The sequence below is a fragment of the Homo sapiens genome, chromosome 5 (assembly GCF_000001405.40).
Source record: "Homo sapiens chromosome 5, GRCh38.p14 Primary Assembly".
Classification (NCBI taxonomy): Eukaryota; Metazoa; Chordata; class Mammalia; order Primates; family Hominidae; genus Homo; species Homo sapiens.
Window position 1 is genome coordinate 40,674,620 of NC_000005.10, and position 14,063 is coordinate 40,688,682.

The 14,063-nt window shown below is 44.2% G+C and overlaps 1 protein-coding gene across 6 annotated transcripts in view, besides 2 other annotated features; it reads left to right on the forward strand.

Moving 5' to 3' along the window:
- Positions 4,959-5,178: a silencer, noted in NCBI's record as "silent region_15982". NCBI's record gives its function as "represses an Ori minimal core promoter by ATAC-STARR-seq in GM12878 lymphoblastoid cells {active_cell/tissue: GM12878}" and the evidence as "EXISTENCE:reporter gene assay evidence [ECO:0000049][PMID:35858748]".
- Positions 5,296-14,063, forward strand: part of PTGER4 (prostaglandin E receptor 4) — a 66,886-nt gene continuing 58,118 nt past the window's right edge. For 3 of the 6 annotated variants that reach the window (XM_017009659.3, XM_047417415.1, NM_000958.3), the window contains exons 1-2: positions 5,296-5,859; positions 6,332-7,241. In XM_017009659.3, coding sequence (XP_016865148.1) covers positions 6,375-7,241 — 867 coding nt within the window. In that variant the 5' untranslated portion in view covers positions 5,296-5,859; positions 6,332-6,374. Of the gene's footprint in view, positions 5,860-6,331; positions 7,242-10,751; positions 10,931-11,111; positions 11,170-14,063 lie in introns of those variants that run through there. The other 3 variants (XM_047417413.1, XM_047417414.1, XM_047417416.1) reach the window with 3 other exon arrangements.
- Positions 6,314-6,841: an enhancer, noted in NCBI's record as "H3K4me1 hESC enhancer chr5:40681035-40681562 (GRCh37/hg19 assembly coordinates)". NCBI's record gives its function as "activates a minimal SCP1, AML or CMV promoter by ChIP-STARR-seq in naive H9 embryonic stem cells {active_cell/tissue: H9 hESC(naive)}" and the evidence as "EXISTENCE:reporter gene assay evidence [ECO:0000049][PMID:30033119]".

Genomic DNA, 14,063 nt, shown 5'->3' on the forward strand with positions numbered 1-14,063 from the left:
GCTTATTATTTGCAAGCAACAGAAACTGAGCATGGTTAATATAAGCAGGAAAGTAATTTATTGGAAAGACAACCAATTACACAAAGAATCAACAGGAAGGCTGCCAGCAGGAAATTCAGGCATGGTCACACCATCCTAACCAAGTAGTAGTTAGCATGCCTCAACCAACAGCCATTATCACTGCAGGACCCTTGACACCACAAACCCCAGACATACTGCTGCTGTGAATGACTTCTGAAATTGCTCTTACGTCTTTGCGCCACTCCTTCAAGATTAAATTTCTAAACAGTGGTATCTGATAAGTCAAGCAAAGGTCATATGCTCAAGCCGTGGCAGAGGATGGAAGGAGAAAATCCAGCCCATTTAGCTTCTCTCATGGCAGGCTAGGTCTTGCCTCCAAATAATATTATGCAATGGAGGATTCTTACTAATAGAAAAGGAGTTCAGCTGCTGGGCAGCCTTTCAAAACTGACAACACCTGGGCTGGGTGTGGTGGCTAACCCCTGTAATCCCATCGCTTTGTGAGGTGGAGGCTTGTGGATCGCCTGAGCCCAGGAGTTCGAGACCAGCCTGAGCAACATGGGGTAACTCCATCTCCACAAAAAAATACAAAAATTAGCCAGGCATAGTGGCACCTGCCTGTAGTCCCGGCTTACTTGGGAAGCTGAGGTTCACTGGACCCCAGGAGGTGGAGGTTGCAGTGAGCCAAGATCGCCCCACTGCACTCCAGTCTGGGGGACAGATTGGGACCCTGCCACAAAAAAAAAGAAAAAAAAAAACACTCCCAGCATTCGTTAACCAAACTTTGATTTGCTCATCTGTGAAATGGGCATCTGACTGCCTAGTACCTTCCTCATAGGTTTGCTGTGAGAATTTGACAGCGTATGCATGTTGCAGTTAGCATGATGTCTCACATAGGCTGAGCATTGGATAAATTTCAGCTATTCTTACTAATTCTTGTGACTCTCAGCAAGCCACATAGAATCTCTGTGCCCACATTCTCACTCACTGAAGGAAGATTACATCAACCATACTAAATTAGTCAGCATAGGCTAACTGCTGAAACAAGGGACCCCTCAAATCTCAGTGCATTATTTCTCATTCACTTCATTGTCCAGTGAGGGTTGCTGGGATTGGAATGAGGTCCATACAGGCACTCAGAGGCCAAGTCACCTTCTATCTAGTGGCTCTGCCATATACCCGGGACCTGTATTATGTTGGCAGAGGACGAACAATAGCACAAAGGACTGGGTTTTATAGGGACCCAGCCTGGAAGTGGCATATATCAATTCTACCTCTATTCCATTGGCCAGAATTCAGTCACATGAGCTGCACCTAACCACAAGAAGTCAGTTTGGGAAATAATACGCAGCTATGTGTTCCAGAGGAAATGGAAACAAGATTTGGTGCAACACAGCAGACTCTGTCACACCTACCTAACCTCCTCAGAGGGTTGCTAATAAAAGCGCATGTGAACGCCAAGTGTGAAACTGCTATGGAAAGTGATAAACTAACATGAGCTACAGGTGATGCTGCTGCTATTGATTAAGCCAGGGAGTTTCTGTGCATCCTCCACATTGCTAAAACATACAGCAATTTGGGTATGAGAAGAAACCGAAATATAATCAGAAGGTCCTTCCTCCTGTAGGGGAGACTCTTTAACTAGTAAGGCTTTATTTCTCCACTTGTATCTTCAAAAATGGGCCACTCTGGGAGCGGTGACTCACGCCTGTAATCCCAGCACTTTGGGAAGCCGAAGGGGGTGGATCACAAGGTCAGGAGTTCGAGACCAGCCTGGCCAATATGGTGAAACCCCATCTCTACTAAAAATACAAAATTAGCCAGGCAAGGTGGCACATGCCTGTAATCTCAGCTACTAGGGAGGCTGAGACAGGAGAATTGCTTGAATCCAGGAGGCGGAGGTTGCAGTGAGCCAAGTTGCACCACTGCACTCCAGCCTGGGCGACAGAGCGAGAATCTGTCTCAAAAAAAAAAAAAAAAAAGGCCACTGCAGGTAAATAATCTCCTTTCTTTGCCCATTGGTCCAATCCACATGGGCGTGTGGTGAAACTGGAGGGAAAAAAAGGGAGCGAGCAGAATAAAAGAGCAGAAAGCTATTACTTTGAGGAGTGTAATTGTCAGAGCAGGCTGTCAGAGCAGCCTGAAGCAATCACTCAGTAGGGGCCAGCCTCCACAGCAGTAATTTATCACCACATGAAGATGTTGGGGAGTTAATCACAGCACTGACATGTGTCAGCTCCAGGCATTGGGCTCAGCATAAACTTCATGCTTAGAAAATGAAAATAATTAAGAGGGCACACATTTGAAATGTACCACTAAAAAGGGAAGGCAGTCATCTTAGGGTCAGGTGAATGCCATGTTTGTAATCCACTAAACCAACTGGAAGAGCCTGTGGAGGGCAAATGTGTCCAAGGGTACTTTGCTATTTGTACCTGATAGATGCCTTTCACACTGTTTTGAGTCTCTGCATGGCCTGTCATGAAAGAGAAAAGCAAACACAATTTGCACAGGCTTTGCTACATGAATATTAGTGCTTCAGGAATGCTCTAAGATCCTGCCAGCTGCGGCTCAGGAAGGGGTCCAGGCCAGATCTGACTCATCCTGCTGCCTTCCTCCTGGAAATGATCCCCTTTCTCACCCCACTCCTGCTGGCTGAGCCCAGGTCCTGTCTGTCCCATATTTCCTTTGATCCAAGGAAAACTAAAAGTGGTTACTAGCTCCCAAGCGGCCTTTGTTTATAAATGGGTTCCCACCTTAATATGTTTACTCAAAAAACTCGTCAAATAATTAGCTATAACAGAGCAATCAAACTGATCAAACAGTTCTTGGAGTAGTTCAAACCTTCAGAGAGTTATTTAATGACAGTTTTAAATAACTGAACTGGGGTCTTCCAGCATAGAGAAGTAGGGATTGTGGCAGAAACTGCGAGGGAGAATTTTTAAAGTGCTTAGAATAAAAATCTTTTCATTGAAAAAAAATGACAAGAATTGCCCACATAATTATGGCAATTTTTCCTTTCCTTTTGCAATGCAAATTCCTGGCAGAGTGTAAGAGAAACTGAGCTCCACTGTCCCAGTTTTTCAAACTAAGAAAATAAAATAATTTGCTACCTAAACTTTCAACTTCTACTTTTGAAAGCTAAATTTAAGTTTTAAGAATCGTACAACAAAAGAGACTACAGATAAACCTCATTACAATTTTTTAGTATTGAGCATTAGGTTATTTATTTTCCTTCTTCCTAAAGCTACTGTAGAAAGAAAATTCAAAGGACTAGTAAGAAAAATAGCTCAATTGATAACAAGTCTGGTTTGTCAATGACATGCTAATACCTGTAACAGTTACTAATTATCTCAGCAGTGTGTCTCAGTTTTTATATTTAATATATTCTTCATCATTCTTAAATTAATAAATAGCAACCAATTGTTTTCTCTTTTACAAGCTTCATATGGAAAGAAAATTGAAAAAAAAAATTTGTATTAGCAGAAAGTGAATATAAGGGACTTCCCAACCTCCCCTCCATATATTTACTGACAAGCAACTGACATGAGTGATAGCAAAGCAATGTGGTTAGTGAGGAATGGCGCAGAGTGTGCAGTTTCCTTTTTTCTAATGTTGATTTGTTTTCTGTGCTGACACAATCCTAGAGGTTACTGTTCAAAGGAAGCATCGACAACAGAAGTGATTAGAGTACTGATTAAAAGAAGATTTTTAAGAAAATGACCAATCACCATCAATCTTAATATTGGCTAACAAATGTGTATTTTTCTTTCTCATATTATTAAGTAAATAGTATAAACAGAATAATTCTTTATTAGTATATCCATATAGTGCCTTTTGCAAGTAAATATGATTCTGGATATTTTATGACCTGTAATTACTTGAAATCGGAAAGCCCTTTTAGTTTCTCTTATTACCCATGTGTTGCTGAGACTAACTGAAGAACCAGTTAGGAGGTTTGTTCGTTCACGAAATAACATTTAAGAAATGGGTACCTGCTTATCACATAAAAGAATCCAGTTATTTACTTACCCTGTGAGGAGACATAATATGTTAGAATGCTTGTACACTGCAGATGGGAAGAGGTTTTTCCAGGAATTTAAATTGTGCAATAAGGCCACACAATCTTACTTAAAAAAAATGGTGAAGGGGTTTTAATTACACCATGAAGTTTTACAATTTTTTAGGTTTTTAGTTCTGGTTTTAGAAAACAGAGTAGAAGGATTACAGAGAAAAACTTCACCATTAGACAAGAAGTCAAAATGATTCTAAGGGCCGCGCAAACAGGCTTTTCCAAGAATTAATCATGAGGTGGTGCTTGGAGAATTCCTTTACTCCAGTGACTTTGAAACCCCCTTCTCACTCTCCACTAGTCTTTCAAAGGATTCATGGTGAATTGGGTCTAACGAGTATAACACGGCCGGCCGAAGGCATGAAGCTCACGCTACCCTTTCAGGGCGGAGAAGTTCCCAGGAGGAAGAATGGAGAAAAAGATCGCAGTTAGGCAGTCCTCCCAACCTCACCAAGGCTCCACCTCTCTCCAAAGCCGCAAGGCTCTGCCACCTGCGCCGGGAGAGGCTGCAATCACTGTCTCCTCCTCTTTCTTTCTCTTTTTTTTTTTTCTTTTTTGCCTGGGGTGCCCGACCAAGCGCAGCCCGCAGTCTGGGCACTGCCAACTGACTCCAACTCCTTTTATGGTGAGAGGATGGATTCTTCGTTATTTCCCCGCCCAATCTGGTACCCACCCACCCACCCACCTACCACGTCCGCTGGGCGCACCCAAGTCTAACCCCGGGGCGCACGCGCTAGCGCAGACACCGTATTTCTTCTCCTTTCTCGGCCAACCCTAGGTAGAATCCTAAAACAACTGCCCTCTCTTCCACGATCTAGATGTTGCGGCCCGCGGACAGGAGGTTCAAGAAATAGTACACTCCGAGCGGCAGGCAGCGAGGCGGAAACGGTCGCCGGTTTCAGTGGTGGCCCCACTGGAAGCCGAGTTCAGGAGCGGCTAAGCGGTCGCCGGGGAAAGCACCGGGGCTTCCCAGGGTCCCCTCCGAGTTCCCACTCCGCACCTCCGAGGGCGTGAAAACCACGGGAGCCGCCCCACCCCGCGCGCCCAGCCCCGCCCCAGCCCAGACACCGCCCCCCGCCAGTCTTCCCTGCGGCGCCCAGGGAGGACGCGCTCCGCCCCCTTCCAATCCGGCCAATGGGCGCCCGGGCAGCGCGCGGTTTGCCTCCGCCTCCGCCAGGGAAACTTGGAGGAGGAGAAAAGTTTGTACAGAGGGTGGAAAGGCGAGAGCGGAGCTCCAAGCCCGGCAGCCCGAGAGGAAGATGAACAGCCCCAGGCCAGAGCCTCTGGCAGAGTGGACCCCGAGCCGCCCCCAGGTAGCCAGGAGCGGCCTCAGCGGCAGCCGCAAACTCCAGTAGCCGCCCGTGCTGCCCGTGGCTGGGGCGGAGGGCAGCCAGAGCTGGGGACCAAGGCTCCGCGCCACCTGCGCGCACAGCCTCACACCTGAACGCTGTCCTCCCGCAGACGAGACCGGCGGGCACTGCAAAGCTGGGACTCGTCTTTGAAGGAAAAAAAATAGCGAGTAAGAAATCCAGCACCATTCTTCACTGACCCATCCCGCTGCACCTCTTGTTTCCCAAGTTTTTGAAAGCTGGCAACTCTGACCTCGGTGTCCAAAAATCGACAGCCACTGAGACCGGCTTTGAGAAGCCGAAGATTTGGCAGTTTCCAGACTGAGCAGGACAAGGTGAAAGCAGGTTGGAGGCGGGTCCAGGACATCTGAGGGCTGACCCTGGGGGCTCGTGAGGCTGCCACCGCTGCTGCCGCTACAGGTGAGATGGCGTTGGGCTGACGTTGGGGTCAACGGGTAGAGAACGCAGGGATGCGGCCCTCGCCGAAGAGAGCCAAGAAGGGAAGAGCGCGCTCTCCAAATTGCTTTTGTAACTTGTTTTCAGTGAGCATTTTATTGATTCAGAATCTATCGAGAATAGCACTAGCGAGCTACTTTTCCCTTGAGATGGGTCTTATTCATCTTGGCAATGGAGTGAGTTGGATTGTGGGGAGGAAGAGGAATGGGAAAATCAGTTTATAAATATTAATGTCAGCAAGAGTGTGCTGTTGGCAGGACGTATCGCGAGCCTGGAGATTTTGGTGGCCGCAGTTGGTAAGTGGCTACAATCCAGAAAGTAGGATCGAGTTGCTCCCCTTGTCTTATCAGTGTATCGTTTCTCGGGCGCGGGTCTAACACCTTACAAGTGGTAATTTCCGCTCACGGCAGCTTTGTCTCTCTTCTACCATCCCCAGACCCAGCCTTGCACTCCAAGGCTGCGCACCGCCAGCCACTATCATGTCCACTCCCGGGGTCAATTCGTCCGCCTCCTTGAGCCCCGACCGGCTGAACAGCCCAGTGACCATCCCGGCGGTGATGTTCATCTTCGGGGTGGTGGGCAACCTGGTGGCCATCGTGGTGCTGTGCAAGTCGCGCAAGGAGCAGAAGGAGACGACCTTCTACACGCTGGTATGTGGGCTGGCTGTCACCGACCTGTTGGGCACTTTGTTGGTGAGCCCGGTGACCATCGCCACGTACATGAAGGGCCAATGGCCCGGGGGCCAGCCGCTGTGCGAGTACAGCACCTTCATTCTGCTCTTCTTCAGCCTGTCCGGCCTCAGCATCATCTGCGCCATGAGTGTCGAGCGCTACCTGGCCATCAACCATGCCTATTTCTACAGCCACTACGTGGACAAGCGATTGGCGGGCCTCACGCTCTTTGCAGTCTATGCGTCCAACGTGCTCTTTTGCGCGCTGCCCAACATGGGTCTCGGTAGCTCGCGGCTGCAGTACCCAGACACCTGGTGCTTCATCGACTGGACCACCAACGTGACGGCGCACGCCGCCTACTCCTACATGTACGCGGGCTTCAGCTCCTTCCTCATTCTCGCCACCGTCCTCTGCAACGTGCTTGTGTGCGGCGCGCTGCTCCGCATGCACCGCCAGTTCATGCGCCGCACCTCGCTGGGCACCGAGCAGCACCACGCGGCCGCGGCCGCCTCGGTTGCCTCCCGGGGCCACCCCGCTGCCTCCCCAGCCTTGCCGCGCCTCAGCGACTTTCGGCGCCGCCGGAGCTTCCGCCGCATCGCGGGCGCCGAGATCCAGATGGTCATCTTACTCATTGCCACCTCCCTGGTGGTGCTCATCTGCTCCATCCCGCTCGTGGTGAGTGACCGGGGCTGGGGCCCTACTCGGCCTTTTTCTCGCATCCACCTCCCGCGTCCATTCCCCGCTCCCTGCTTTCCCTCTGAGTCCTTGGCAGTGAACGTGTCGCCTTTAGGTCGGGGCTGGGATTCCCACACTGTTTCTCAGAGCAGGCCCAACCCTCTTTGAAGTCCCAACCCTAACGAGATTTAGCAGGTGCTTTGCCCCTACATCCCCCAGTTTATGTTCCCGGAAGCCTGGGTTTCTTTCTCCACCGAGACAGCCCTTACCCCTTGCTGCCTGACACTGGCCGAGTCTTCCAAGAAAACCCCCCGCCCCCTCTGTTAGACGTGGAGGGGAGCCTGCTGTAGTGTGACTTAGCCCATTCCTCCGTACTGTGAACTGTGAACTGCAAAACCTGAAATGTCAGGGATGGTGATCTGTTCGTTGTAAACCATTTTTAAGGAAAGTGGGGTTTTTGGTGTTTTGATGTATGCAAGGTTTCTTGAATTTCTTCCCCCGTGGATTGCGTAGAATTTTAAAGCTAGAAGAGATATCAAGAGGTGTTTTAGTCTAACTCCCTCACTTCACTGAGGGAGTGAATGATACGCTTAAAATAATCCAGCCGAACCTACACAGTCAAGCTAGGCTCCCTGCTCTTTACCATGGTGTGCCCTGGGAGGGCAGCTTAAAGCACACAAATTCTAATTCATATACAGGGCAGGGTCCAGACTCAGTTTCTTTCATTCTGTCTAGACCAGGAAAGCAAAGTTTCTCAGGGTGACTAATTATGGACAGGCTGATATACATAGGGTATGGGATTTGAATTCTCGACAACTGTGCGAGGTACAGTACCATTTTAGAGAAACCGAGGTTTAGAGATGGCTGTCTTTGTTTCTTCAAGCCAAAGCTCTACAGCTTGTAATGGACCTTAGGCCGTCTGAGGCCAGACCCAGCTCATGTGTTATTACATCACGTCTCCCTCGTAGAACATTTCTCATTTTGGCGTTTGTAAAGCGTGGGTTGGAGTTTTGGTACACTTCATTTTTAGTTCATCTTTTAAGAATTGCCTTTGGATTAACTTTTAAAATATGATAAACAGAAAGGCTCAAACCCTACCTAGTTTTCTACTTTGCCTGTGGCTAAAATGGAATGCACCAGAAGCAGATGGGCAGAATAATGCAATACTTTATCTAGAGTTTCTCTTGAAAGCAACTAGTTATGAGTTCTTCCATCTTCCAAAACACTGCATTCCTGGAAATTCTAAACTACCAACTCAAAAAGAGATAACTGCTTTTTCTTATGCTTGTTGGGAACAAGAGAATATAAAATGTAATGGGCTATTATTCCTTCCTTTTCCTTATTGATACTGTCCAGGGATCTTTGGTGTAAAAATATATCTTTGATAAAAGTGACTGTAAATGGAAGGAACTTAGAGGGGGCTCAGAGCCAGAATACAGTAGGTTCTTACCAATTTGTATAAACAGAAGTAAATATAATAGGCCATAAGAGCCTTTAAGCCATTCCAGGACCCAATATAATTTACAGAGTTAAGTCACACTTGAGCCACATAAATATATTTTACTGTCTGTAATGGCAACCTAGAATAAAGTGAGATTTTGGAAGAAACAACACTGCTCCTGATGGGGCCCCTGTTCCTGGGCCTCTGCCTTGTGTTTTACAGAACAGTAAATGACAAAGTGAATGGTTGTTATTTTCAGAACATCCACTTAAAGGGACAGAGGAATTAGAGCTAGAAGGTTAGCAACATGCACATACTTTATAAATGTGTTTTGGTTGGAAGTAAGCATGTAAAGCTATGGATTTCTGCACAGCCACGGATGAATTATTTTCTTCCAACATCTAGAGAGACATACAAGGCTTAATTCACCTCATAGGCTGAAGTGGTAGACCTGGACCTAAGATTCAGGGCCCTTACACAAAGCCTTGAAATTATTTGAGGACCTAGAGGCAAGAAATTATAGGAGCTGTATTTGTGGTTTGCAGATTAACCACATTTTAACTAACAAGAAATACTGTCCACCTGTATAATGTTAGTAACGTGTAGTAAATTTTAAGTAATCTTGACCTGAAAATTGAAACTAGCTCAATTAAGAAGTAATCCCATTAGTCAAGTATTTATATAGCTTTGTGAGAAATAAGGAATCCTAAAATAGCAGTGGCATCAGTTTGTCGCCTTTAGTTTTGGCTACTAAAGTCTAATTTCAGAATCAGTTTAATTATAAATTAGTGATAAATGATGGGTTCATTATGCCACCCACCCACCCCCCCCCCCACAATTCAGCAATTACTGAAATAATCAAAAACCCTTCCGCAAATACAGTCTTCCTTGGCTTCCTTTTACAACTTTCTTTTTTCATGTTTTCATATTCATGTTGTAAATTAAGATTAAAGCTCAGAACTCTCTGACATTGAAAGCAGTTGAGCTTATCTTCAGTTCCAAAGAAACTAATGAAGCATCTAATTTTATCAAATCAAGTGGTTGCTAATCCCATTTAAGGAAAATCAAAGCGTTGGAATCATTTTAAATGCTTTGGAAAGGCTAACAAAGCAAATGTAGTTTACTTGGAATTTCAGAAAGCTTGATATAATACCTAAGGAAAACAAGCAGCCACTGAAAAGCAGCCAAGGTTTTGCCTCCTGGACACCAGGGAAGAAAGAGCTACAGCTCTTAGAGGGGGGTTGGTATTGAGTTTAGTATAAAAAATAAATTTTAATTTGCTATCCAAAATATACATATTTCATAAATAGAGTTAAGATTGGAGTGGAAATTTGAGAAAGGTTGGGAAATTAGTTGTGGATATAAGGAACTGTGCTGAACCTGCAGCATTCTTTGAACTGGGTCATAATTAATGATCAGAGAAGGTGTAAGTATGATCTACAAGGAACATCACATGACAAGATTTAGTGGGTAGGTGGTTCTTGTCATTTTGTCCATTCTTCTATTTATAACCAGTCTCATAGTTTTTTTAAATATAGGAGAATTTTGGAAGTGAGAACTTCTAAAATTTTGTGAGAACAAGAAGTGAGAGTCTACATTTAAGATAAACGAAAAGGATTGAATTCTTTAGAAATATGCAAGCAAGACAGCCTCCTAAGGTCCTGGTTTTAAATGCTGTAGCTTGATGAATTACTAGTGCCTAATTTTGCAGTTACTAATGAATATTAAGATGATTATTATAATCAAATATTTTGCCTTAGGGCTAAACAGTTACTATAGGGTTTCGAAGGTCATTTTCCCCCATACACAAGCAACCCAAGACTGTATTTATTGCTTACTTGTTTCTTTTATTTTTTAACTCTGAAGTAACAAATACTCATCTCAGCTAGGGGCAGAACAGCTAATTTGATTAATCTTCTGCCTTGGTGAGGTAAAACTTAGGTCCTTAGGAAAATACTTCCTGTGACTGTTTATTTGGTTCCTTACTATAAACTAGTTGTCTCTATAAAGCTTTCACCAGCATTTGATCAGCAAAAGTTTATAAGGACAGATAAAAACTTTGTAAATAGATATGCTTTTGTTTACTGTAGGCAAACTGGAAGTGGAGTCATAAAACAACTGATGGGATGTCAGATGAGTGTGAAGCACATCTATACATACAAGAGAAATGCCACAAATTTGGGTATGACTATGACAGAATCTAAAAGACTGGATTTGTTCAAATAAATTTGGCTAAGTTTAAAAAATTGCAATGCCTAGAAGGAAGTTTTAAATCATAACATGCAATTGCAGACCCAGTAGTAGTAACCTGAAGACTATTGAGTAACATAAAAGTAAGTTATTTCCACATCTGGCATTTCATTTGAATCTTGAAAAGCTCTAAGGAGAAAGTAGGGCTGACCAGTATTTTCACTCTCTCTACACCTCAGTTTCCCAAGCTGCAAATGAAGAATTTATATCATTCTGCAACTTACAGGGTAGCTATAGGTGAGTCCTCGTCTAATGCTCATTTCACCATGCTTTCTTGACCTGTCAATTTGTTTGTATTGAATATCTCCTAACAAGATTTTTTTTCTCAGCCCTGACGTGATTCTTGTAGTCTCCTATCAGAATATTCAATGTGAGAGCTTTAAAAACAAACAAATAAAAAAAAACAGAAACTTTCAGTGTAGAGGTTGACCTATAAAGCCTGTAGAGATTTAACTTGCCTTCTACAAATGGCCAGAAGAAGAACCAAGCTCTCCTACACACCACCCAGTCAATAATTATTTCCACTATTCTTTACTTGAAAAAAAGAAAGTGATAAGAACTTCTAGTAACAGCTGTGTCAATTTTGGACTCTTAACAAGGCAGTGGGATAACTGAGCCCATACAGATAATTCCTTTTATGTGCTTGGAACAGAACAAGTAGCACACACATTCAAATCCAGCTACAGATCTTGTCACTTATTGGAAAGCGTTACTGTTTTGACAGTCCATTACTAAATCTAATCAAGAGTTCAACATTCTTTCTTCAACATTCCCTGCAAACAAATTATTAAGTAGGAAGTACATGTTTTTGATACCATATTATTAACTATATCCCAAAGCTACCTCTAAGCTACAGTTTTCAAATTATTGATACCTTCCACACTGGGCAAGCTTCCACATATGGGTTGAAAGAAAAAGTAATGAGAGCCAACATATCTGTTATACGATAGGCACTGTACTAAGCACTTTAATAATTTGTACATACGTTATAAGGGCAGAGCCAGGATTTGAACAGAGGCTTGTTTGCTTCCAAAGCTTGGGCATTTATCTCTACAGCATATAGCCTCCTTACAGCTTTCTTGTCACCACATCTTCTTCTGAACTTATTGCATTTCCTCAAAGTTATGTTCCACTGCTCCTGAGCCCTAATCTCTAATCATCCTAAAAAAAAGTGTGAATAACATAATTTAAAAAAAATTAGGTGGGTGTGGTAACATGTGCCTGTGGTCCCAGCAACTTGGAAGGTTGAGGCTGGAGGATTGCTTGAGCCCAGGAGGTTGAGGCTGCAATGAGCCATGTTTGTATCACAGCACTCCAGCCTGGGTGACAGAGTGAGACCCTTTCTAAAAGAAAATAAAATAATTTAGAATACTGTAATATGCCAATATTAACAACAAACCACATGTACACAGCAGGAGCTACTAGAAAAAGACTTAAAATTGGAAGAAAGGAGATACGTTGTTTGTATTCAGTGAGTTTTTTTGTTTTTGTTTTTGTTTTTGTTTTTGTTTTGAGACGGAGTTTCACTTTGTGGCCCAGGCTGGAGTGCAATGGCGCAATCTCAGCTCACCGCAACCTCCACCTCCCGGGTTCAAGTGATTCTCCTGCCTCAGCCTTCCAAGTAGCTGGGATTATAGGCATGCACCACCACGCCCGGCTAATTTTGTATTTTTGGTAGAGACTGGGTTTCTCCATGTTAGTCAGGCTGGTCTCAAACTCCTGACCTCAGGTGATCCGCCTGCCTCAGCCTCCCAAAGTGCTGGGATTACAGGCATGAGCCACCATGCCCGGCCATATTCCCTCCTGACTCGGAGGTTCAGTTTTATCAGCAACACACTCTTCCAACACTGAAAACTGCCTGAACTTGTTTAATTATGTAAAATATAGGGCCTGTTGGACAAGAATTCCGAAAAGTGCTTTCACCCCCTCACGAGACATTGAAGCACTACTCCGGATGTCCCCATCTCAACTGGGGTTGTCCCTGCCCTCTTGGAAACAGCAAATCAAGTAGCCTACTTAAAGTGAAGCAGAGGTTGCTCTATGTTTTCAAACATTGCAAGATGCGTGGAGTTTTTGTTTGTTTTGTCTTTTTTCTTTCCCTACTTGAAGTAAGTCTCAATTGAAATACGCTGCAAAGTAAAACTCATATTGATTCTTTTCAATCTAACCAACTTTTGAGGATGTTTTTACCTGAATTTGGACTTTTGCTTTTTAAACTCATACTTTTACTACCCTGTGAACTCCCCTTTATTGAAAAGACATTGAATGACCAGGTTCAGTGGCTTGTACTAATTGTAAACTTTTCCTCCCCCATGGAAAACTTTAAAATAGAGCATACTTTTAATATAGCCTCCTTTCATTCCCTCCTATACTAGTCGAAATCCATTGCTGCTGTGGATGAGATGAGGCACAGAAATGATTCTTTCCTTGCCTCTCATCACCTTTGATTATGAAAACCTATTATTAATTGTTTTACAACATTCCAACCTTTCTAAAAGGCCACAGAAATTTTAAAATGCTAACTCCTAATGTACTTCTTTGAATGGCTATAAATTCCATTTTAACTATTCAAAAATTTTCTTCCTTTCAGTAGTAGCCATGTTTCCTTTGAGGTTGTGGTAGGAGAAGCAACCAGCAATAAAACATTTTCAGTGTCAAAAATCTCAGAAACGTCAGGTTCAGACTTAACCAAAATTCTGTTCTGCGAGTCTCGGAGATGGCTTTACACAGTGCTTGTTAGGGAGGTAGTATCAGAAACTCTCAAGTGGAGCAACACTGCCACCTGGAGGCTTGAAGGCTCAAGTTCGCATAAACCCGGCCGTAGGTCTTTTCCAGAGACCACACACAGGACTTGATACTAACAGATTTAACGCCATCATTTCTTCTACCCTTAGGAACGTAGTATGTGATGTGAATAAAATATAGACCTCATGCTTTTTACCAACAATTCCATTGTCAGGAAATAATAATTAAACAGAAAGCCAGACTGGTAGAACAGAAAAGGCAACATGGAGGTCCAGACCAGACTCTGCCACCAACAGGGTGGGGGACATCCTAAGTTCCTCAAAACCTCTGGGTCTCAGTAACAAATACCTCATCTGAGAAAAGGCCTGTAGAGTTGAGGGAACTGC